This window comes from Homo sapiens, chromosome 2 (genome assembly GCF_000001405.40).
Source record: "Homo sapiens chromosome 2, GRCh38.p14 Primary Assembly".
NCBI lineage: Eukaryota > Metazoa > Chordata > Mammalia > Primates > Hominidae > Homo > Homo sapiens.
Window position 1 is genome coordinate 79,476,185 of NC_000002.12, and position 26,172 is coordinate 79,502,356.

Here is a 26,172-nt window from a genome sequence, read left to right on the forward strand (position 1 = left end):
TTATCACACAGGGCACCAGGAATCTCAGCCAAGCCATGCAAGGATGACTGAGAACAGAAGCTCAGCTCTTTAGGAATACAATGTAAGAATCAGGTAGAGCCAGCATCCTGGAGTATAGGCACAGTATCTCCTCAGGTTCAGAGACCCACAGAAGAAACAGAGAAATCCTGAGCATCCAAGAGAACTGGGCTGAAGGGAGCCCAGATTGCAGCCTGGCTATTTCATCGGGGCACTTCTAAGAACCATTAACCTATATTTGTATTAAAGCAGGCTTTAGCCATTCGGTAACAGTAGCAGTGATTTTTTCAGAACCCTACTAGTAAATGATATATAAATGTAGATGGCATGCAAGAACCATGGAAGGGGGACAAAACATGACTGGTATATGGAGGTCTCATCTAGATGAGAAACACATGCTATGCACATTGTTCTTTTCTGCTACTGCCAACTTGACTTCTATCCCAACTCTCTAGATCTTAGCATCTTCTGAGATCTTGGCCCATTGTTACTTCTCTGATTTTAGTTTGTTATTCTCCTGTCTGCAGTTTCTTCAGCTAAGTTTTCTTTGTCTTACCTGTGACAATTTTTGCTAGCCACTCGGTCTCTCGGCTACCTTTGCCATCCCATTCAGGTCCCATGGGTACACTCATCTGTACTCAACAAAACTTAGTGCCCCAGAAGACAGGTGGGAAATTTCAAGTCTTTCTTGTGCCTAAAAACCCTAAGTAGATGTTTTTACTTCCATGTCTTTACTTTCTAAAGATGCCTTTACTTCATATGACCTTGGTCATAAGTTCTAATGCTAGACTACTACCTTCAAGATAGTCCCTATGACAATACAGAACAAAAGTGTTTTTACAGACCTATGTCCTCTAAATATCAAGGGACAAATCTATCATCTCCTTGACAGAGTTTTAATGTTAATAGAGATGAGTTCATTGCATCATTTCTTTTTCTTTTTATTTCTTTTTTTTCTTTTTTTTCTTTTTTTTTTTTTTGTTTTTGAGACCAAGTCTCACTCTGTTGCCCAGGCTGGAGTACAGTGGCGCAATCTCAGCTCACTGCAACTTCTGCCTCCAAGGTTCTCATGATTCTCCTACCTCAGCCTCCCAAGCAGCTGGGTTTACAGGCACCCGCCACCACACCCTGCTGATTTTTGTATTTTTAGTAGAGTAGGGATTTCACCATGTTGGCCAGGCTAGTCTCAAACTCCTGGCCTCAGGTAATCAACCTGCCTTGGCCTCCCAAAGTGCTAGGATTACAGGCATGAGCCATCACACCCAGCCCATTGCATGATCTCTAACTCCCTTCTTTACCTCCCTGATTTCTGATTTCTGGTGTTTGTGGTTGTGTGTGGATGTGTGAATAAAGGAGAAAAAAATGTGTTTTTAAAACATGTTCTGCCTATTTGCATTTCCTAGGCAGTTTTTTCTGTCTCACAGCTCAATGGTGCCTTTGGTGGCCCAGAAGTCAAGAATCTGTCAACTTTGATAACTGGCCTGTAAGCTTACAACCCCTTCTAGAGTTAACAAAAGCCCAGGGCTTCTAGCCATGAATGAAGGTAATCACACGGAAAAGGAACAGAATACGCTAGTTACTGTTTAAAATAAATACATGGGAATTTATGTAACCAGTATGCTAAACTAGCCCAACTGGTGGGATGCAATCACAAGGTATTTCCACATACTTCCTTTAACTTTGCTCTGTGGGACTAGTTTTGCCCCAGCAATGAAAAGTCTGATACTTCTGCATCTTTTGTAGTTACTTTTAAGCAATGGAAATCCACAAATTTCAAGACACAAATCATAAAGTCAAGTTGCTACTGAAAATTCCCAGTCCCACATATTAGTAAAACTTCCAAATTCATTTAAAGTTACAGTTCCTCTCCTTCCTTCAACTAAGTACTACTTCAACTTAAAAAAGGCAAAGAACAGCTAATTTCTATTCTCTTCCCAATTCTTCCTCCCCCACTAAATTTCCAACCCCTTTGGAGCTGTAGCTTAAAGGCAGAAGGTTGGAAGCAAAAGCAACCAGCTGCGTGCTCAACAAACCCATTTCTCCTTCCTGAGTATCCCACCTCCCTTCATCTAGTTAGGGCCATGTGATTAATTTTTATTAGTGGAATGCAAATGGAAGTGATGAATAGCGGTCTTAGGTAGCTTAGAATGGAATTTCTTAAGTGTGTCTTTTCCATACTTTATTTCATTATCTCCCGGCCAGATTTAGAAACACAATGAAACACTGTAAGGCAGAGTCAATAAATGAAAGGTGGCTAACTTCGTCGATGATCAGATAGAAGGAGACTGCCCACTCAACACCCAATTAAGCTATGATGGGAATGAGAAATAACCATGATTAGGTTGGGGGTCATTTCTTATGGCAGCTTATGTTACTTACCCAATTGACACTGGCAGAGAGGAAGATAAGAAAGGAAGAAATATTTATACTTGGCTGGCACAAGTATGGTGGGTCTTAGGAGATACCCTTTGGCCATTAATTCATACCTCTTACTAATAATATTCTGGACTCAGGTAATATATTCTTGCCTTATTTGATACTTACCTCTACCCTTTTTGGAATCTGCAGTTATATTCAACATCTCCCTTACGATGCTTGCCTGAGCATGTAGTATAATACCCAACTGGCCCACTGGAAATAGTCATACATCCTTTGCTCTAACAGACTCTCAAAGTGAAGGCCATTACACATCACCGTCTCACCTTTACTACCTTCATTTCCACCACTGGAGCAGCTTTCCAGCCTGCTTTTGCTGTTTAGATTTCCAAATAGAAACCAGCTTAATGTATCAACCTTACTGAAGGGGATGAATATCAATTGTATATGAGCATATTAGCTTTATTTTGTCAATTTTTGATAGTAAGAATTCATGATCTCCAATTTTTCCTTTTTTACATGGTCTAGTCATATTTTATTGATGTTACCATCTTCCTGAAGTTCACTGAGAAAACTCAATGCATTTAAAATTATGAAAGTTAGCTAGTTTTCTGCATTAAATCTGTTTTTGATGCTCATTAATCCCTTTCACTAGACTTGAGCTATGAGACAGGATGCCATGTCCAAGTCCCCTTGATGGGCTGGATTTATAGGACACCAGCACCTTCCTCAAAATGTCCTTTTTACTTCACAATGCACCCGCTAACCCTCTTTGACTCAATGTGAAGCATTTAAGACGTTTTAAAGTATATTTTCACCTGAACCACTTGAAACTTTCCATTTTGGTCTGGCACCTGTTTTCAGAATGTTATATCTATTGCATTTTACTATCTATAGTGAAAATTTAAATACAATTACATTTACTTGGATGTAGAATACTAGAGCTCTCAGTGAGTTTCTCTCAGAACTCTCTAGACAATGCTGGGTTATCATCAAGCATTTCATACTGCAAATATAAAACCACGTGTTTTAGTTCAGTTGTGTTGCTATAGAGGAATACCTGGCTGGGTGTGGTGGCTCACACTTGTAATCCTAGCACTTTGGGAGGCCGAGGCGGGCGGATTGCCTGAGGTCAGCAGTTCAAGACCAGCCTGGCCAACATGGTGAAACTCCATCTCCACTAAAAATGAAAAAATTAGCTCGGCATGGTGGTGGGCACCTGTAATCTCAGCTACTCCGGAGGCTGAGGCAGGAGAATCGCTTGAACCCAGGAGATGGAGGTCGCAGTGAGCTGAGATCATGCCACTGCACTCTAGACTGGGCGACAAAGTGAGACTCCATCTCAAAAAAAAAAGAAGGAATAACTGAGGCTGGATAATTTTCAAAGAAAAGAGGTTTATTTGGCTCATGGTTTTGGAGGCAGTACAAGAAGCATGGCACTGGCATCTGCATCTAGAGTGGGCCTGAAGGTGCTTCCACTCATGGTGGAAGGAAAAGGGGAGCCAGCATATGCAGAGGTCACCTGGGAAAGAGGAGGCAAGAGAGAGAAGGGGGAGGTCCCAGGCTCTTTTTAACAATCAGCTCTCTGGGGAACTCTCTTGAGAACTGATGGAGCAAGAACTCACGTAGTTCCCTCCCACCCAGGGAGGGCATTAATCTACTCATGAGAGATCCACTCCCAGGATGCAAACACCTCTCATTATGCTCTACCTCCAACATTGGGTATTACTTTTCAACATGAGATTTGGAGGGGTCAAACAAACCATAAAAAACACCAAGTTCTTAATTGATCTTTCTCACTGTATGCATGTAGAGAATTATTGTCCTAGGCATCCATATACTTAATCAGAATTTTTTAGTCTGAAGACTCAGATCTTTCTTCAGGAAAATTATCTTCTATTATCCCTTAAATTATTGGTTCTATTATATTAACATTGTACTGTCTTTCTGGAAATTCTGGTATATAAATATCATGACTCTCAGATGCATCTTCTACATTTGTTATCTTTTTTCTCATTTCTTTTTAATATCTTTCTGAATTCTTAGATAATTCCTCAAGTTAATTTACTAATCTCTTTGTTAGCAATATCCATTCTGCTCACTGTGTGATTTTCTGGTTAATTTCAGCAATAATGTTTTATGCTAAACACTCTGGTACTTCGATTTTTTTCTTTTCCATGACCATATAATCTCTTTGAATGCAGCAACCTTTCTAATCTCACTGAAGATATGAATAACAATTTTCTTAACGTTTTCCGTGGTTTGCATCATTAATCTTGTTTTTTTGAGGGATATTAGAACTCACTGTCACTATTGCTTCCCTCCTTTCAGCTGATTTTTTTCAAAAGTCTGATGATAAATATTTTACTGTCTGATTATATACCTACCTCCAAATTAATGTCCTTAGTAGGGTTTTTTTTAAATGGGCCCAAGGAAGAGTAGCTATTATCTTTTATTTCAATGGAAATAATAAAATGAATTCCCAGAAGTGCAAAAATCACACTAATTTTTCATATAAATAAAAAGTTTTTTAAAAACCTAAATATGAATAAAGTGAATATTAAAGAGCAATTTTACCAGCCCTGATTAAAATGTAAATTATAATTATGTAATCGGAAAAACTTAGATTGGCCATACAAAATCATTCTGAGGAAGGTGCCTCTAAATTTGTCGTCTAGCAAAATACATTCTAAAATTATGTTCTCTCTGATTATATTTTAATGAAAAGACAACAAAAAGATGCTCTGTTTCTCCTTTTCCTAGCCTCTGCCCCTCTGTCTCCTACTTTCTCATTTCCCAAATTGCAATAATCTAGAACAGGTTTATTTTGAAGTCATGATCAGGTGTGCTGAGACAGAGAAGAGAGTATGGGAAGAGTCTCTTTTCCTGAGATCATACAAGAGGCAAAAAAAAAGAAGTTTACAATACTGTAATGTGTGCTTAAAAATTCTGTTAAGAGAGCGGATCTTAGTAAGTGTTCTTAACACACACGTACAAACACGTACACATACAAAATAAAACAAAACAAAAACCTAAAGGATGGAAGGAAACTTGTAGAGGTGCTAGATATACTTATTACCTTGATTGTGGCTATGGTTTCACAGGTGTATTCATAAATCCAAACTCATCAAGTTGTATATATTAAATATGTGCAGCTTTTAAATAACAATTAAAGTGCAATAAAACTGTTAAAATAAATAAATAAATAGACTTTGAAAAACTTTAAAAGAAGAAGACAGACGGAAGATGTGAATCCTAAAGGCCTTCAACTCCAGAGTGGAGTCTGCTTGGTTTGATAGAACCAAGGAGGAGAAGCAACTGAAGAGTAGGCTGGAGTTTGTTACATGGAAGAGGCCACATACATGTTACTCAGCAAAGAGAAATCTTAAACTCATTCTAGATTAAACCCAAAGTGAAAATGATACTTTTGGTCAGCTGAGCTGAACAGACTGTGTTGTGGCATAGATTCAGAGTAAGATTTTTATTTTCAGAATTTTAAAATACTATGAATTAATTCAGAAAATACAATATTATAATGAATGCTATAATGGATTTACTTCAGTGTCTATTTCAGTTGACGGTTCATAACAATAGAGACTGCATTCTAAATGGAAGGTCATCAGGAATTTTAAAGCTAGTTTTGTGATTTCAACCTGTAGCTAACATCAAGGGTCTCAAAGGATTAGGAGTTGGAGATTATAGGAGAAATACATTTCCTTGGAAAAGTATCTTCACCTTTCTTCCATACATGCACACAGGGATGAAGGGTGCTTTCTCCTGACCCCAAACCTAGTGGGAAGGGCTTCAACTACATCAGTCAGAAGTTTGCACAATGTACTAGGGATTTGGAAACGTGGGCTAGTTCCTGGCCCGAGCCTGAAAAACATAAAGGCTTAGGAATTGTGGCAGCGCAGCTATTCTGGTAGTGACACCTTGGGATCAGCCTAGATTTCCAAATGTTACTCAGGTTAAATTTTTTTTTTAAACCAGATGAGGGTCATACACCCAAAAATGAGAGCATCATATTGTTCCAGTTCCTATCTCAGAACTCTATTCAAAGAGGTAAAAAGCCTATTTTAAAAAGAATTTAGGTATGACTGGCAGCTAAAGAAGGATTCACCAGCATTCAGTCAGGGCAAAATAATTCATTTATGCCAAGAGAACTGCAGACAGTGAGGAAGAGAGAGAACTGACCTTATCAGTCAGGATAGACTAGAATAGTGGTTCTCAGACAAGGGCAATTTCATCCCCAAGGGCTTTTTGGTGAAGTCTGAAGATAGTTTTGGTGGAGGAGTGCATGGGCAATGCTGCTGGCATCCAGTGGCTAGTGGTCAGGCATGTGGCTAAAAGTCATACAATACATAGCAAAGCTTCTTACAACATAGAATCATCCAGCAGACTGTCAACAGCACTAACACTGGCAAACCTGAGCTGGTGCATGCTGGTTCAACAAATAATCACCAAATCTTAGCAGCTTGTAAGACAAAAGTTTACTTCCCATGTGTGCTATGTCTCTATTGCATGTTGGCTTATGGCTCTGCTGCATGTGCCTTCCTGGCAGAATCCAGCCACCACTTGGAACATCACCAGTTGACATGACACAGTGAAAAGAAATATGTTGAGCAATACACTAACTTTTAAAGCTCCTCAAAGAAATGACATCCATCTCCCCATCTACATTTCATTTGCCAAAGCGAGTGCCCTCGTCTATTGGTTAGTTATTACCGCATAACAAATTACCTCAGAATTTAGTGTCTTAAAACTATGCAGACTTACTTTCTGCTAGTTTCTACAGATCAGAAAAGGGGCACATCATTGCCAGCTCCTCTTCTTTAGGTTCTCTCAAGAGCTGCAATCAAGGTATCAGCCAGAACCTCCACCATCTGAAGGTTCAAAAGGGACAGGATCTGATTTTGAGCTCACTCAGTAATTGTTGGGAGGATCCAGTTCCCCATGGGCTGGTGGACCGAGGGCCTCATCTCCCTTGTACACATTTACCCGGAGTCTCCAAAGTCCATGTATTGTTCTCAGGCCTTTGCATCCTCATAGCTTAGCTCCATTAAAAGTGGGAACATATGATGTTTGGTTTTCCATTCCTGGGTTATTTCACTTAGAATAATGGTCTCCACCTCCATCCAGGTTGCTGCGAATGCTATTATTTCATTTATTTTTATGACTGAGTAGTATTCCGTGGTGTATACGTATGCCACATTTTCTTTATCCACCTGTTGACTGATGAGCATTTGGGCTAATTCCATATTTTTGCAATTGTGAATTATGCTGCTATAAACATGTGTGTACAAATGTCTTTTTCATAGAATGACTTCTTTTCATAGGACCTATTTTGAATATCAACATAAGACACCATAATGATAAGTCCAGCATGCAAGGGACTTCTGCGTTTAAAAATACATGTATGGTTGGGAGGCCGAGGCAGGCAGAACACTTGATCCCAGGAATTCAAGATCAGCCTGGGCCACGAGGCAAAACCCTATCTCTATAAAAAATACAAAAATTAACGACATGGTGGCATGTGCCTTTCCTGCAAGCTACTTGGGAGGCTGAGGTAGGAAGAGCACCTGAGCCCAGGAGATTGAGGTGGCAGTGAGCCATAATAGCACTACTGCACTCCAGCCTGGGTGACAGAGTAAGACCCTGTCACAATAAAATAAAATAAAATAAAATATAAATGTTAATTAATTAATTAGTTAAATGTGTGACTTGTTTAGAACGAGTGGCTGATATAGCTTTCATGAGCACTCATGTAGATTGCCAATCCCTTTTTGCTGAACTTCCTTGACCTTAAAGCATGGTGAGGTGGGGTAAGTGGGTCTGACTCCTATCTCTGACCTACACATATAGGTGGAAACAAAACAGAGGATTCCTCCCTAAATGCAGCTAGAAGCAATTAGGTAAAAATTTAATTTAATTTAATTTAATGTAGAAATTCCTTTTCTGGTTTCAACATGGTTGGTCTTTCTCTAAGGGTATTAGCTAGAAGTAGGTAACCAGCTGGTCTTCCTCTGCAAGGGCGAGGTGCTTGAGATGAAAGATGGACAGGCTTCTCCTCAGGCGTATTGCACACGAATACTTTTATAGGTGAGCTATCCTGAGCTCACCTGGTAGCTGTAGGCTCTCCTAAGCATAGTGTAGTCCACAGGAAGCTTCTCAAGAGTGTGGTCAGCAATGGTGGGTCTATGACACATTACTTTCCTGTCCTCACTCCTCTTACATTACTCTTGCTTGATAATTCCTTAAGATTTCCATTAGTTGAATGTCATTTTCTGTGATTTCTCCTAATGAGGACAGAAATTTCTTGTCCAAATTTCCTGTGCTATCTCTACAGAAATTTGAAAATAGGGGAGATTCTAAAACCTTTACCAGCCATACTTCATTTTCCAGAACATACTACATTGTTACATAGAAAGAGCTAGAAATAAAACAGATATACCATAGATAGCCATCAGTTTCTCTTTCTCTGTGTTTATCTATATGAAGGTTATAGATGGATATTTATAGAAACAGACCAAATGGTTAATGGTTGTTAACTTTGTGTAGTAGAATAATATGCTTCTTTTTTCAAAAGATCTATTTATACATTTAAATTTTCTTCCTATGATCAAGGAATGCTTTTATACTAAGTAAAAAAAAAATACAATTTTTCTTTAATTTAAACAAATAATAGAATCACAGCATGCAATTTATCTGGGGACTGTGCATCTAACAGAGGAGCTATTTTAAACTAAAGGGATACCAAGAAATCAGGAGCTTTTGAAGATTCACTTTAAAGTGTTGCTACTCATGCTTAACAAAAATGTTTCTACCTAGTAAATTAATGTACAATGTGTATGCACACTAGAAATTTATTTTGGGACAATCATAAGAAACTCTATTTTATACTGCTCCTAAGTTTGCAAATCGCTTTGAAATCTCATTTTATTTCATCATTCAAATGACCAGATTAAAGAAAGGTCAAGTTTTATTAACCTTGTTTGGATGTGGAAAGAAGCACAAAGCATCCCATGATAGGCACTGAGAGCAGCAGAGCCACAACTCTGACTGCCACACAGTTGCTTTCTCTACCCAGTAGCCTTTACTTTCATGCCTTGGTAGGTTGGACAATATCAATGAAGTAGGAAAATTATGCCAGCAACTGATGTAGGCCTCATTGCTCAGTACAGGCAACATCTCCCCTTTATTTTAGATTCATAGATCTCTTTTCAGGTTTTGAAATGTGATTTTCATGGCAGTAATGTCATGCATAGTCCTCTTTTCCTAAATAGGAAGTTTATAACTTCATTATGGATATCTTGCAAATTTTCTGTTTCCTTGAGGAAAAAAATATTTAACTCAGAGAACCTGATGATCTTTTTTGGATGACCATCGTGTAAGTGGAGAGTAGAATCATTTTTGGCCATGAGAAGTTGAGAACTCAATTAAGAATAATTAGGACTCAAACAAAAGTGAAAGCTGATTTAAAATGATTTATTTTATTTTATTTTATTATTATTATACTTTAAGTTTTAGGGTACATGTGCACAACGTGCAGGTTTGTTATATATGTATACATGTGCCATGTTGGTGTGCTGCACCCATTAACTCGTCATTTAACATTAGGTATATCTCCTAATGCTATCCCTCCCCCCTTCCCCCACCCCACAACAATCCCCGGTGTGTGATGTTCCCCTTCCTGTGTCCATGTGTTCTCATTGTTCAATTCCCACCTATGAGTGAGAACATGCGGTGTTTGGTTTTTTGTCCTTGTGATAGTTTGCTGAGAATGATGGTTTCCAGCTTCATCCATGTCCCTACAAAGGACATGAACTTATCCTTTTTTATAGATGCATAGTATTCCATGGTGTAAATGTGCCACATTTTCTTAATCCAGTCTATCATTGTTGGACATTTGGGTTGGTTCCAAGTCTTTACTATTGTGAATGGTGCCACAATAAACATACGTGGGCATGTGTCTTTATAGCAGCATGTTTTATAGTCCTTTGGGTATATACCCAGTAATGGGATGGCTGGGTCAAATGCTATTTCTAGTTCTAGATCCCTGAGGAATCGCCACACTGACTTCCACAATGATTGAACTAGTTTACAGTCCCACCAACTGTGTAAAAATTTTCCTATTTCTCCACATCCTCTCCAGCACCTGTTGTTTCCTGACTTTTTAATGATCGCCATTCTAACTGGTGTGAGATGGTATCTCATTGTGGTTTTGATTTGCATTTATTTAAAATGATTATACCGACAAGCTGAAAACTCAGGCAAGACTAACTTTCGTATTGCTGGTATAATTTAAATAGGCGAAATATTTTTAAAGTCTGTTTTGTAGCAACAATACCAAGAAAAACTACTTTAACAAATCATGCTACATATAGGCAGCATGCTACACAGAAAGAATACATGTATATTTACTTCATAGAAGTTCTGCTCAATTATCTAGATAAGAGGAAAACATAATAAATTTAAAAAACTACTAATGCTTTTTAAAAAATTTAGCCCTATAATTCCAAAGCAGTTTAAAAGATGCATTAACATGTAACCATCTTAACTTTGGAAATTTCATGTTTTCATTTTCGTGATCTTGTAACAGTAGATTTGATGATGAATGAGAAATTGTCAATAGACATAGCAAGTCTAAGGGAAAGATTGTAAATATTCTATACGTTGCAAAAAACTATCTTTAGTTATTGTAAACATAAGTGGGTATGGGAGATGGTGCCCTAAGATGAATTCCGCCAATTTGTTTCTTTTCATATAAACATGCTGCTTCTCATATAAAAAGTAGAAACTAATTTCCCTAGCCTTGAATCAGTGGCCTAAGTGGCTGGCTTGGTCAACAGAGTGTAGTGAACATTCTGGGACTCTTGAGCCTTGCTCATAAGAAACTTTGTAACATTCTCTGGGGAATCTTGCAGTGCTCATTTGGAGAGCTCCATCTGAGAACCCAGATAGCACGCTGGGAGTTGCCTACATAACTCACAGAGGCCACGTGCAAGTGCTCCAGTGGTCAGCTGCAGCTGAGCTCTCAGCATTCCAGCTGAGCTCTCAGCCTTCAGCCACCATCATGTGAGTCAGCCATTTAACACGATCAGCTCATTTGGGGAGCAGATGACTCCAGCTCCTCACATCTCACTACCACTGCATAGACAAATTCTGAGTGAGAACTACCCAAATGAACACAATTAACCCAGAAAACAATGAAAGAGAGAGTAATCAATGGTTGCTTTAAGCCACCATGTTTTGGGATTCATTTATTACATATCAATAGATAACTAAAAGAGTAAGGTATGAATATTAAGTAAATAATAAATTGGAAATAAGCAAAATTCTTCAGAATGAATCAGAAAGTGTACCTGGCTTTGGCTTACGACACAAAGTGTTTAATGATTTGGGGATCAGTAACATACTCTCTGGTCCTAGTTCTTCATTTTTAAAGTGAAAAATCTGGGATGTTAAAAAAGACAGACAGTGTAATCCCAGCACTTTGGGAGGCCCAGCAATCCCAGCACTTACCTGAGGTTGGGAGTTCGAGACCAGCCTGATCAACATGGAGAAACCCCCGTCTCTACTAAAATACAAAATTAGCTGACCGTGGTGGCGCATGGCTGTAATCCCAGCTACTCAGGAGGCTGAGACAGGAGAATCACTTGAATTCGGGAGGCAGTGTTTGTGGTGAGCTGAGATTGCGCCATTGAACTCCAGCCTGGGCAACAAGAGTGAAACTCCATCTCAAAAAAAAAAAAAAAAAAAAAAAAACACAGTTCAAACACATGTGTGGCCTTCTGATGAGTAGATTTCTACTCATTCTGCAGTGAAGGTCAATGTCAATAAGTGTTCACTGACTTTGGACAAAAAGTGTAGACTAGATTATCAAACACCTTGTTCCTGAGGACAGAAATGATAATCAGGAACCAACATAGGTGGACACTGGGCATAAACTACCAAAATCAACTCATTTAACTGAGTAACTGAGTATCTTTCAAGGCTGTTAGGCTGGTATACCAGAGCATGTGATAGACATTGTTCATCTGTGACATTGACTTCCTTCAGAACCTTCTGGATTATAGTATAACTTTTGTATTACTACTTAAAATCTTTCCACTGGGCTCTTCTCAATGAACAATTTCTTGAAAGTATTTTTAATCCTGCACAAATTCTATACAAATCTTAGGCTCTCCTCTCATGCTATTGGTTTCATCACTTTCCAGCCCTCCTCAGAAAGCCTCTCCTGTCTGTCCTTTCACTAGATTTTGGGCCTACATTTCCAAAAGTAAGAGCTATTCTAGCTCTTAACAATTGTTTATATCACTACCATTCTATTGAAATTGCATGTCCAAAGTTGTCCACAATATTTTAGTTCCTAAATCTAATTAACCTTTTATCTGTTTTCTTCTCTACTTTATCTCTATAGCATGGAACCAGGCTGACAGTTTTCTCATTCCCCATTCTCTCCTTTATCGACTTCCATGGCACTTTCGGCTCTCTTTGTATTGCTCCTACTGCTTCTACTCTATTATCTGCTGTGTCTCCTATTGTTCTCTTAAACATAATCATGTTTACTTGGTCCCTTTCATTCCCTTTTATTCTCTTTTTCTCAATGTGATTTCTGTCCAGTTATTTACTCATTATTTTCTCTATAAGAATGGTATGGTAACTGATATCAAATTTTTCCTTTGCTAATTTTTAGGCACTAAATATGTCCTGAAATTTCATTTTAATCCCAAGGGTCCAGAACCTGATTAGATGGTCTTAAAATGGGATTATAGTCAAAAGACTTGGGGATATCTAAATCATTTTCTATTTCAGCCATCCTTCCTCCCTGTGATTTCATGGAGGAAAGGTATATTTACACAAGAATAATGGCAAGTGAGAAACAAGGCATCACTCAATTATTATGATCTAGGCTTGTACCCTCAGATAATGTAGGGCTTTCTGGTAAGCAGGGCTTGGAGTTGATGTCCAAAAATGACTAAAACTTAACATTGATCAGTACCTTCTTTAAACAATTTGTTCTTTTCATTACAAAGAGAAAGAATAAGATAACTGTATCTACCCCAAGGAGGCAGACCCTGGCTCATTTTGCTTATTCTATTGCATGAATGAAAAGAAATCCCAGAGAATTTGAGGAAGAAAGGAAAACAGAGTGAGGCATGTCTATGTTTATGAACATCTGATGTAGTATAACGCAATTTCTCAATAACTAGGCAAAATCATTTTTCTGGAATCTGATTTAATCAGACTAGTATTCCCCTTACCCAGAGTGGGAATATGTGGAGAGTGGACAAGGGCAAAAGGTAAGACCTCCTGCTTCTAGGTCCTACTTCTCTTGGCAGGGAATACTCATGGCCCCTCGTCTCATTGTCACTGTAATTTTCAGTTTATGCATTGATCTCCACTCTGTACTCTGCTGTTTGCTTGCTTAATATTCTAGGACTGAAGCCCAGCTCATTCATCTGGTGGCCTAGTTCTTGCCAATTTCATCAATAAAATATTCTGAATCTTACCTTCAGTATTTCCATCCACTCTGTGGAGTCATGCCTTGATATTCCCAGATTTCAATATTGCTCAAGCTGACCATACATAGTATATATACTACCTGCAATTTCTTGCTCTTTTAACCTTTCTGTAGAATCAGAATATAAGCTTGCATAAAAATGTCAGTTTGGCATATTCTTTGGCCCTGTGCCTTCAAATACCGGTCTGTCTTTGCTGTGGATAATTCCATTTCTGAGGTGGGTTTTCAATTTGCCCTGGGGAGTGGGTCTCTGCTTCACCTCAGTAGCCATCTGTCATTGGATGCTGCACATCCAATCCTGTGTTTTTTATGATAAACTCAACATGAGTCAGTACTGTTCTGAAGACTCCCAGAAAAGGGTTTCCACTTTAAACTGCATCAATATGCTATATATGTAGTATTTTGAGATTTGGATTATTTCCCTCTCACTCCCAGTAATTTCTGCTTACAACATGACCGTCCATCTTTTAGACCATTAAATAATGAAGAATCTATTGTTTCAAGAAAGAGTTATTACAACTGAATACAGGAGGCAAAAAGAACACAATGAATGGTTATTGAAATGTGTGAGAGGCAAAGACTTAGACTTCTCACACTTAGGCCTTAGGCTTTAAAGTTCACTAGAAATAATTCATTTTGAAGAACTATTTATTCAAAGGCTTTTATTTTTCTATTGATCTTGAGAAATGTTATGATCCCTTAGAGGAGACAAGGATGCCAGAAGATCCAGGCATTTTAGAAAATCTTGTAAGAGCAGAAGTTTTGGACATACTTCCCAGCAGAATCCAGGAGAATATAATTGCTATTTCCCCATACCCCATTGTGATATGAGGATATTAGTAGTAGAAGTGGTTATATGCATTGTCATGGCACATACAGTTTCTGTGAAACTGTAATTATTATATCAGAGAGAGCTTCCCATCAAAGCACAGTAATGGATGAAAACCCTGCAAAATTATAGAGGAAGAGGAAAAAAATTTGAAAATAATCTGGGGTTCACTAGTTGATCTTTCAATAACATTTGTTGTCTGCCTACTCTGTACAGGTCTGAACTTCGCTTCTTGTAAGTTCATTGTTTTACACTTTTATTCCTCTAAGTATCCATTTTATTTATACTTCAACTTGCATATGACTTTGAAGCCCATCACAAAATGACTAAAAAAGGGGGCTCAATGTGGCAGTCTGGGCAGTAGATGAATCACTCTGTCTTCTGCTACTCCAGGACTCATATGCAGCTTAAATCTTTAGTTGTTAGAAATCTTAGGTAATTTGAAGAGTATATACCATCTTTGTTGAGAACACAGCTTCAAACACCAAGGAGATTTAGATTTAAATAGCCAAAGTTAACAGAATTCAAGAAACAGAAATGGAAACTATTTTAGCTATGTTAAGCATAAAGGGATTTATTACTGGGAATTGGGCCTTTAAACAATCCCTGGAAGAGTTGAAGGGCTTGGCTCTAGACAGGGTCCAGAGGAAAGCTTCTCAGAAGAGTAACTCTGAACTGTGTCTCCAGAAGAGTTGTAACCTCCTTTCCATCAGAAAGATGTGAAATCTGGACCTATTACTAGAACTGCTGAGTTCAGGATCACATCACTGTAGAAGAGAAAGAGAGATTTGGGAAGCTGCTGCTGCCACCACACCATTGCCTCACCAAACTCACAGAGCTAGTACCTAGATACAACCATGCTTTTAAGCAGCAACAGAAATATGTGTAAGAAGATGGCCCTGTTCTTATTTAGGTTTTAAAAATCTGATTCAAGTACCTCTATATGATGAAATAATTTTGCACTTAGGACCCTGATTGTAAGGACATCTGGGAACTGTAGATTTCGGATGTCTAGACCCTACAGTACAGATGGATCACCAGAAAGAGGCAAAAATGCGTTATCTAGCTCCACATATACTTGTCATCATAATAGATATGCATTTAATAATTAGAGTAGTTATTATTTTGAGACAATCAAAATCATGTAGTAATATTTTGTGCTTAAATAGTACCTGTTAATTGATATTGTATGTACCTATAATGTTTAATATTATGTATTTTAATATTCATACTATTTATATTTTTAGTAAATCTACATATTTTTAATGTGGCCTATTAGAATAACCATATTGAACTCTAATTTTAGAATTTGTAATTAAGCTATAAATTTACAAATGGAATTTTGTTTAATATTACTAAATGTATTTAGAGTGTTGGATCACCTAAAAGAATTTTGCATTCACTGTATTCATAAAGTTATTTATTGCATTTATAAGAATTATATAATAATATGGTAGATTTTCTATCTAATCAGACAATGAAATTTATGGAGAAAATCAAACATATAGAATGTATAATTATGTTTTGAAATGTGAAAGTAATTAAACTGTTTAAATAGGACAAAACATTGTTCATATTATGTACAAGCTGACTGCAATACTTGAAAATATAATAAGATTTATAATCTAAGTTTAAAAGATTAAGAAAGCACAAGGGATTTAAATTTGAACTTTCATAATTTGCATGCTAAATCTTAAAAATGAAATAAAAGCCCAAACATATAAAGAAGTATTAATACACATTTTTTACAAACTCTCCCAAAAATTAAAGAAGAAAACAATTCTCAACTAATCCTTTGAGACCATTATTGCCTCAATATCAGAAGCAAAGGTACACAGTAAAAGAAAACTATAGACCAACATAGATGCAAAAATCCTCGCCAAAATACTGGAAAAATGAGTCTAGTAACATATAAAAAAGATTATCCATCATCAACCAGTGGGATTATTCCCAGAAATGCAAAGTTGGCTTAATATCTGAAATCAATCAATGTAACCCACCATATCAATAGTTAAAAAGCAAAAATCACAACATCATTGCAATAAAAGCAGAAAAAACCACTTAATCAAATCAAATGCTCTGTCATTATAAGAACCATCAACAAACTATGATTGGGAAAAACTTTTTAAACTTCACAAGGGGCATAGACAAAAACTCCAGGGTTAAGCCTCTAAAATGAGGAACAAGACAAGGATAACTGCTCTTTCCATTGTTATTTAACATCATACTGGAAATTCTAACCAAGACAAAGAGGCAAAAGTAAGAAAGTAAGTAGAAAGAAAAACAGGAGGGAAGGGGAGGGGAGGGGAGAGAAGGGAAGGGAAAAAGGAAGGAAGAAAATGCCTCCAGATTGAAAAGGAGACAGTGAAATTATCTCTATTTACTAGTGACATAATCTGGTATATAAAAATATTGGCCGACTGTGCCTGTAATCCCAGCACTTTGGAAGGCTGAGGCAGGTGGATCATAAGGTCAGATGTTCGAGACCAGCCTGGCCAATATGGTGAAACCCCATCTCTACTAAAAATACAAAAATTAGCCAGGTGTGGTGGCACATGCCTGTAGTCCCAGCTACTCGGGAGGCTGAGGCAGAAGAATCGCTTGAACCCGGGAGGCGGAGGTTGCAGTGAGCCGAGACCGCAACACTGCACTCCAGCCTGGGCAACAACAGAGCAAGACTCCATCTCAAAAAACAAAAATCTTAAAAATCCTGGAATTGGGTTTTGATTTCCTCCAGTATGTCAGTGATCTTCATTTCTATCTATATTTGAATTCTGCTTATGTTACTTCAGCAATCTCAGTCTGGTTAAGAATCGTTGCTAACGAAATAATATGGTTGTTTGGAGGTAAGAAGACACCTTGGCTTTTGAGTTGCCAGAGTTCTTGCTCTGATTCTTTCTCATCTTTATGAGCTGATATTCCTTGTTCCTTCAGTCTTTGAACTTGCTGCTTATGTATCCTGATCCTGAAATAAAAGTTAAAACAATTAAAATAATAAGAAATTCACCAAAAAGTATTAAAATAATAAACGAGGTAACAATATTTCAGGATGGAAAATCAATATAGAGAAAACAATTGTATTTCTATATATTAACAATGAACAATCTAAACTAAAAATGAAATTAAGAAAAAAACTGATTTATAATATAATTAAAAAGAAAGAATTTGGGAATTAATTTAACAAGACAAGTGCAATATTTGAATTCTGAATGCTACAATACGTTATTGAAATAAATTAAAGAAGACATAAACAAATGTTAAGATATCTCATGTTCATGGAACAGATAACATCCCAAACTTATCTGCAGATTCAAATCAAATCCTTTAAAAATTCCCAGCTGCCCTATTTTTTTTTTTTTTCAGAAATTGACGAACCAATCCTAAAATTTATGTGGAAATGCAGGGGATCTAGAATAGCAAAATCAGTCTTGAAAAAGGAAACATGAATTTGGAAGACTCACGTTTCTGGATTTAAAAACATACTGCAAGCTACAGTAATCAAGACAGTGTAGTACTGGTATAAAAATAGACATGTAGATCTATGGATTACAGTAGAGACCCGGGAAGTAAAACTGCACATTAGTGACCAATTGATTTTCCATGAAAGTGTCGAGAAAATTCAGTACAAAAGATTTTTTCAACAAATGTTACTAGAAACAATGCATATCCACATGCCAAAGAAAGAATTTGTACTCTTTGTTTGCACTGTACAAAAATTAAGTCAAAATGGATTATAGATATATATGGAATAGCTAAAATTATAAAGTTATTAGACAAAAACATTCGTATAAATCTTTGTGACCTTGGATTGAGCAATAATGTCTTAGAGACAACATTAAAAGCACAAGTGACAAGACCAAAAAAAAACCAGAATTTTTTTCAAAATTAAAAACTTTTGGCAGGGCGTGGTGGCTCACGTCTGTAATTCCAGCACTTTGGGAGGCCAAGGCGGGCGGATCACGAGGTCAGGAAATCGAGACCATCCTGGCTAACACGGTTCTCTACTAAAAATACAAAAAAAATTAGCTGGGCGTGGTTGCAGGCGCCTGTAGTCCCAGCTACTTAGGAGGCTGAGGCAGGAGAATGGCGTGAACCAGGGAGGCGGAGCTTGCAGTGAGCCGAGATTGCGCCACTGCACTCCAGCCTGGGCGACAGAGCAAAACTCCGTCTCGAAACAAAACAAAACAAAAAACAAACAAACAAAAAAACAACAACTTTTGCGCTGCAAATGACACCATAGAAGGAAAAGACAACCCACAGAATGGAATAAAGTATTTTACAAATTTTGTATCTGATACAGAATTATATACAGAATATATAAAAACATTTACACCTCAATAATATAAATTTGAATAATGTAATTTTTAAATGGACAGAAGATCTGAATAAATGTATTTTTAAAGAAGATATACAAATGGCAAATAAGCACACATGAAAAGATGCTTATCATCATCCATTAGGTAAATGCAAATGAAAACCAAAAGGAGATACCAAATCACACCTATTAGGATGGCTATAATCAAAAATAAAAATAATAACATGTTGGCAAGGATGCGGATAAATTGAAATCCTCATACATTGCTGATGGGAATGTAAAATGATGCAGTCACTTTGGAAAACAGTTTGTCATCTCCTTAAAATAATAAGCAGAGTTACCACGTGACCAGGCAATTCCACTCTTAGGTGTATACTCAAGAGGAATTATAACACATTCGATACACAGGTGTTCACAGCAGCATTATTCATAATTAATTGCCTAAAGTGGAAATAACATATCTATTAATTGATAAATGGATTAAAAATGTGGTATATCCAGAAAAAGTAATATTATTTAGTAATTTTTTAAAAAATGAAGTACCGATACATGATACAGTATCATGGATACTGTGGATCAACCTTGAAAATATTCGAAGTGAAAGAGGGCAGTTACAAAAGACTACATATATTATTATTCCATTTATATGACATGTCCAAAATTGGCAACTATATAGAGATAGAAACTAGACTAGTGGTTTACTATGGCTAAGAAGGGGAGGGGCGATTAATGGTTTGAGGGAGGAGGGAATAAGAAGAATGACAAATGACTGCTAATGGGTACAGAATGTCTTTTGGGGTAATGAAAATGTTCTAAAAATAGATAGTGGTGATAGTTGCTCAACTATGAACATATTAAAAAGTATTGAATTGTATACTTTAAATGGGAAAAATGATTCTAAACAAATAATATTCTAAAAAGTATTTTCTGTTATCCAAAGTTTGAGGCTACCAAAAAAATTTAGCAATTGTTTCTGTTTATAAGCTTTAGAATTTTTTTCTTTTTAGACTTGTCATATTTTTCTTAATATGAATATTCTAACTTTTTAAATTAGTTTTTGTCAGTGTAAAAGAGTCTGAAAGTATTCTACATGCAATTAAAATGTAGTTTGTATCTTAAACACAATGGATCTTCAGAGAATAGATACTTTACAAGTGCAATTATTTTCCTCAAAATTGTAAAGTTGAAAACTGGAAAGTATAAACTCAATACAGACAAAATACTTTCAATGGTGTTCTTTGACAAATTTTTCACTCACTGGCATATAACTATGTTCTACTTCTATTTTTGAATGAGCCAATATTATTTTTTTTTGCAGAATATCTTCCATTTTGGGGATTTATTAATTTATTCATATTTACCTTTGCATCTGTTGATATTAACTCCATTCTTATTCCTAATTTTGAATACTTTTTTATTTTCTCTCTTTTTTTGTCTAGCCCTACCGCCTGTGTACATATATATAATTTTATATATGTATTTATTTATCTATAACTACCCTTTGAACTATACATAGAAGGAGATATAATTATATTAAAATGGTTCAAGTTCTACATGACTTTAAAATAAAAAAATATTAAACTTAACTTTACTGGAGTTTAACAGCAACAAAAGAAGAAATAAGTAAAACTGTAGGAACTGCTGAACATCAGAAAATGCTTTCTTTACTTTGAGAAATATTTGTTCCTAAAAAATTCCCCTAGGCCATATATAGAAAACTGATGGCTTTGGGACCTAACACAGCATACAGATACTTTTTTGTTGCTGCTTTTTGGCCTGCCTAGTGTAGGCCTACACAGTGTTCAAAATTTGAATTAGTTGTCAACATTTTAAAATAAGGAGTTTTCTCATACAAATCTGGATCCAACGTGTACCATAATTGGAAGCTCCGGCAATGCCATCCCACAGTCCCACATGGCAGGGGCCTGCAGGAGCTAAGGAGCAGCAGGTTCTTTACATGGAGACCGTACTCTCCCTTTCAGCCCAGCTCACAACGTCTCTCTGTTTCCCCAGCACGGCCCTGGGTGTCAGTTACTGGTTGCCATCTATCATCTTACACATTTCTGCCTTATTGATTCAATTACTTCTAGGCTTTTGATTTTGTATTCTCAACTCTTGGCTATTCATATTACTGTATTAGTTGTCAATGACATTGACCCATCTCGTTCTTAGTATTTGTTCCTGCTGCTGTCATCTTCTGCATCTCCTGTCATCTAAAGCCACCAAATACCTATTATTTCTCTATCCCTTCCAGTTCTCTGCTCTGTACAGCGTAATGTTACATCAGATAATGTTAACCATTTCTCAGTGTCTTGTTAACTCACTCCCTTTGGTGTCCTGCAGTTAACCTAGCACACCCATGTCCACTAATTCTTCTCTTACTGAAGTGAAGATAGGGTATCTTCCACTAGAACACCCCACACTAAATCATGGTACTCAGGTAGTCCAAACAGTACTTAAACTGCATATCATCGCTATCTCTTGTCTTAGAAAATTACTACTCTCCTTTTGTTTCGTCTAAGCAATGTCTCTTTTAGGAATTATGTTCCTATCTGCATTTGTATATCATGCAATTATTAACTTTATATATAAATTTCAAGGTGCATTTGAATACACGTAACAGAAAACCCGCTTCCAATTTCTTTGAAGAATAAAGAACTGTATTGGCTTATATAAAAGTACAGGGTAGGGCACATTGATTCAGTGGCCACAGTTCTATTTTTGTTGTTTTTTAGTTTCCTTAGACACATGAATGAACACAGTCATGCTGTCAGGAAGAGGAAAAGGAAGACTGATAAATAGTAAGTATTCAGCAATATTCACCACAATCAAATGGTTCAGCCACCACATGTACACGTATATCTTTCCTCCTATATGTAGATACCACATCCTCTTGGACAAGAATATACCTGAAAGAGAAATGAGATCCTTGGTTAGCCAAATTGGCAGTACTTAGTTCCACTGGTAGGATGGATCTCTGTCTATTTTCTTTCATGACCGCATTGAAAATGGACATGGAAGAGTGTGTCCTTTCTAGAGATGGTGTGACGTTTGTAGTCCAGTCCCAGTAGGTGCAAATCTGAGGGACTGGAGATGTCCTGTGTTTGAGCAGTTAAAGACTGTTTTGAGCCAGGCCTGGAATATCTTTGGCAGTACAGCTCCCTTAAAAAGTTAGTAGGCTTTGATCTTTTGCATGCAAAAAATTAGCAAGCATGGTCTCCACAGTAGTTTATCTGGTCAAAGTCTGATTCTGATCATTTCATTTTCTTCGCAACAAGCTTCTGTTTGCTGTCCATTCCTTTGGACCTTGATTGGCACCTTTATCTTAACCGCTGCCTCGGAGCAATTAAAAAAAAACCCTTAGGTACAAGGACACCATAACTTTCATAATTACCCCCAGATTAAATTCTATCTGCATATTCTGAATGGCATGGCTAACTACTTCATCGGTTGGGAATGTTTAGCAGAATTTTCTTGAGAGAGGTCTGAAGAGTAGGCTCACGTTGTATACTAATCTTGTCAACCTTCCAGGTCTCCTATTATCCTGAATTGTTAACAAAAACTTCACCTTGGGGATAAGACTTGGCATTCCTTTCCCTATCAAACTCCACATTAGTGTATTTGAAATAATTTGCTTTTCCGAGCAGAGGCAGAAAAGAATGATATTTTCTTCCATACCTTCTCTTATTTGCAGAACGTTCAATTTAAGCCAATCCAGTATCTATACTGTAGACCTCAGTGAAGGCTGGAAGACTAATCCAACACAATCTGACATCCTGATTCTTTCCAATCACCTTTATGTTCCACCCTCTGTGAGTACATAATCATTTCCTAAGGCAGAAGAAGTGTTGTTATAAATTACTTTTCTATAACTGCATAACAAAGACCATCAACTTCCTAGTTTAAGAGGAAGGTATCCTTTTCACTGACCTCTTTTACCTTGATTCAGCACCATACACTTGCCATCATGTTTTCTACCCACTCAGAGCACAATAGCTGCAAGTAACAGAAAACCAGGTCAGAGTATCTTAAACAATAAGAAAAAAAACTGAATCTCATAAACTGAAGTCAGAGCTAGGGTGGGCTTCACAAAGCTACCATGATATCCTTCCTAGACTGATGCAATTCCCTGATACCTTGTCTGTGTACATCTGAATGTGTCCCCTACATCACTTCTCCATATAGCAGTCACAGCGATCTGTTGAAAATTAAAATTAGATTATGTTCTTCCCTGATCAAAACACTCTACTGACTTCTCATCGCAATTATAATAAAATCCTTAATCCTTCCCATAGCCACAGACACTATTAGGACCCCTTTAGAGCTCCCCTCTAGATTTCTTACGCCACCTATGTAATAGGACCCCTCTAAAGCTCTCTAGTCCTATCTGCTGATGCTCGTCTCTCACTCACTCCACACTGGCTATAGTATCCCATTTTGATGTTTCTTCATTGTGACAAGCTTGTTCCTTTCTTAGGACCTTGACATTTGCTACTGCATAGGCCCAGAATGCTCCTACATGGAGCCTTGCAGGCACCACTTACTGTATTATCAGAGTTCTCCAGAGAAACAGAACCAATATGATTTGTGTGTATATATAGAAAAAGATTTATTGTAAGTAATTGACTCGTGATTATGGAGGCTGGCAAGTCTAAAATCTGCAATATTGGCCAGCAGCCTGGAGACCCAGGACAGCCGACGGTACAGACAAATTTTGAATGCCATCTGTTGGAGATTTCCCTTTTTGTTCTATTCAGGCTTTCAGCTGATTGGATGAGGACCACCCACATTATGGAGGCCATTCTTGTTTACTCAAAGGTCATGGATTTAAATGTCAGTCTCATCCAAAAATATCTTTCATGTTGACACATAAAATTCACCATCACACTCACATACTCTTTCAGATCTGTGCTCATTCATGACCTTTCAAAAAGAAATTCCTCAAAGCCCCTATTGAAAAATTCCACTAATTTCTGTGTCTTCTATACCTTTATCATATTTTACTTCACTTCATAGCTTTTTTCAACATCTAAACTTATATTACATATTTATTTGTTATGTACCTGTTACCTACCTCCATTTCTATAATACAGGCATTATTCTTGTTTACCACCATTTCTATGGGATACAAACAGTAATTATATAGTAGATGCTTAATAAACTCGAGTCAAACTTTTATATTCACCTGGGAATCAAATGCAGTCCTTCTTATCCAGGAGATGGCTCAGAATAATTGAAATTACACAGAATAATTGAAATACACACAAAAAATTGAAAGATTTTTCTAAATCATATTGGCTACAGTGTGTATTTTTCTACTTTCTCTCACCCCACCCTTCTCTGCTCTGAAATACTGAGAATAGGGGTATACAAAATGCATTCCTTAGCCTTTCTTGACAGCAGACCTCTACTCACATCATTCCAAGAGAAGACACTAGTGGAGGGATGAGATTGTCTCACGGGAGAAGCTATTGTTCTTTTCTCTTGCTCTTCTTCTGGCAGCATTTTTGAGTGACTACATCCTTTCCACCCAACAGCAATCCACCTTCAGCTTCAATGGTCCCTCTTGCATGGTTCTAGGACAAGCTGCAGGCCTTCTTCGTCATGGTTTCAGCACTGTCTAAACTAGCTACCCTAGCAGGGAAGCACTGAGTGTTCTTCTGGGCTCTGATTACACCGTTTTGTCACTTTTGTTTTCCAAGAACTTGATGAAGCAGCCACTGTCAGCAATTACTAATCTGTGGTGTACTTTTTATTTTACTTCTCTCAGACTCAATACAATGTAACAAGGCTCCTGAATTAGACCTCTAAATTACAGTCTATTGTTTTAAAACAATAAGGTACTCTCCTTTGTTTTTGTTTTTGTCTTGTTAATTCAGTGATGTGATTCTTGGGTTAGGTAGCTTGTACAGTTTGAATATAATGATGACCTTATTACCCATGGAAAATGGGTTACTGCTAATCCATGACATGCCATGACATCACATTTACCAAATTATCTGTTGTGGCTTTATTCAAAGTTTATTTTTCTGTTTATTTATTTATTTGTTAGATATGGAGTCTTGCCCTATCACTCAGTCTAGCTGGTCTTAAATTCCTGGCCTCTTGGCTGGTCTTAAACTTCTGGCCCACCTCTGCCTCCTGAGTAGCTGGATCTATAGGAGTGAGCCACTGCATTCAGCTTATCTGTTGTTGCTTTAGATAAAAGGCCTTCTTAAGGCAAGGCTCTGTAAAATAAAGTGGTCAATGCATTCAACTGCCGTAATAGTGATGATGACTACTAAAGACTGTGGGGAAAGATTTTTTTTCTCTAATACTGCACTAGATTGCTTATAGAAACAAAATTACAAGCCCAGTGCTTTAAAATCTTAGTTCAAGGCAGGTCAGGGAACCAGGGAAATTTCACTGTGGTCTTAAAATATTTGCTCATTTATTGTAGTTTCAGGGAAGATCACAAATCCCATCCCAAATCTAAAAGTGAAAATTCCAGAATTACAATGTAAGTTGAATTTACTGCCTCATCATGTATCTTATGTGAAACTAAAAGCACATGATCTTGTGTATATTTTAGAGCATTAATTGGGAAAGAATGGGACTCTGGGGTTTGAAATAGGGATATTTGGGTAGATGGAGGTGAATCCGACGACCCTGAACCCTCAAATCTCATTGAACTTTCTATTGCTAGCAGAAATAGTCTCCCATATTCAAGGATATTAGTCTTTTTTTTTTTTTTTTTTTAGTTCAAGGCCCTGCAATTACCTCCCCTAAGGAAGTTACTTTCAAGTGGATGCCTGTTCATAAGACCTATCCCCACCATGCTTCACTGCCTTCAAAACTGCAGTTTGAGTCTGATTTTAGCAAACACCTGGGGCACAAGTATACAATCTTACCCAGGGAAATGTGACTTAAATACAAAAAGTTATTGTAAGAGTATTATTAGTTTTACTCATTTTAGCTAAAATTTGGAGAATATGTGTGGGAAAGATTCTAAAGATTTTGGAAGAAAGAAAGATTTACAGAGATTCTTTTTGCCATGTGCTATCTTGAGTAGCTAGGAATGGCTCAACTGTGGACACAACATCAGACTTTAATGTGGCTTATATTTAATAA

At 37.2% G+C, this 26,172-nt stretch overlaps 1 protein-coding gene and 1 long non-coding RNA gene across 2 annotated transcripts in view, besides 1 other annotated feature; one reads left to right on the plus strand and one right to left on the minus strand.

Annotated features, from left to right (window-relative positions):
• CTNNA2 (catenin alpha 2) overlaps nt 1–26,172 on the plus strand; it is a 1,463,404-nt gene that overhangs the window by 290,808 nt on the left and 1,146,424 nt on the right. The gene's annotated exons all lie outside the window — the stretch shown is intronic.
• Nucleotides 17,532–24,660, minus strand: CTNNA2-AS1 (CTNNA2 antisense RNA 1). The gene is made up of 5 exons (NR_110289.1): nt 24,478–24,660; nt 22,993–23,058; nt 22,741–22,893; nt 21,886–21,971; nt 17,532–17,712 (listed from the first exon to the last, which is right to left on the minus strand). It is a non-coding gene; the product is annotated as a CTNNA2 antisense RNA 1 (long non-coding RNA).
• Nucleotides 22,046–22,215: an enhancer, noted in NCBI's record as "experimental_59361 CRE fragment used in MPRA reporter constructs". NCBI's record gives its function as "activates a minimal promoter by MPRAs in K562 erythroleukemia cells, with activity observed for both the introgressed and non-introgressed 2:79725441 variant alleles {active_cell/tissue: K562}" and the evidence as "EXISTENCE:reporter gene assay evidence [ECO:0000049][PMID:34662402]".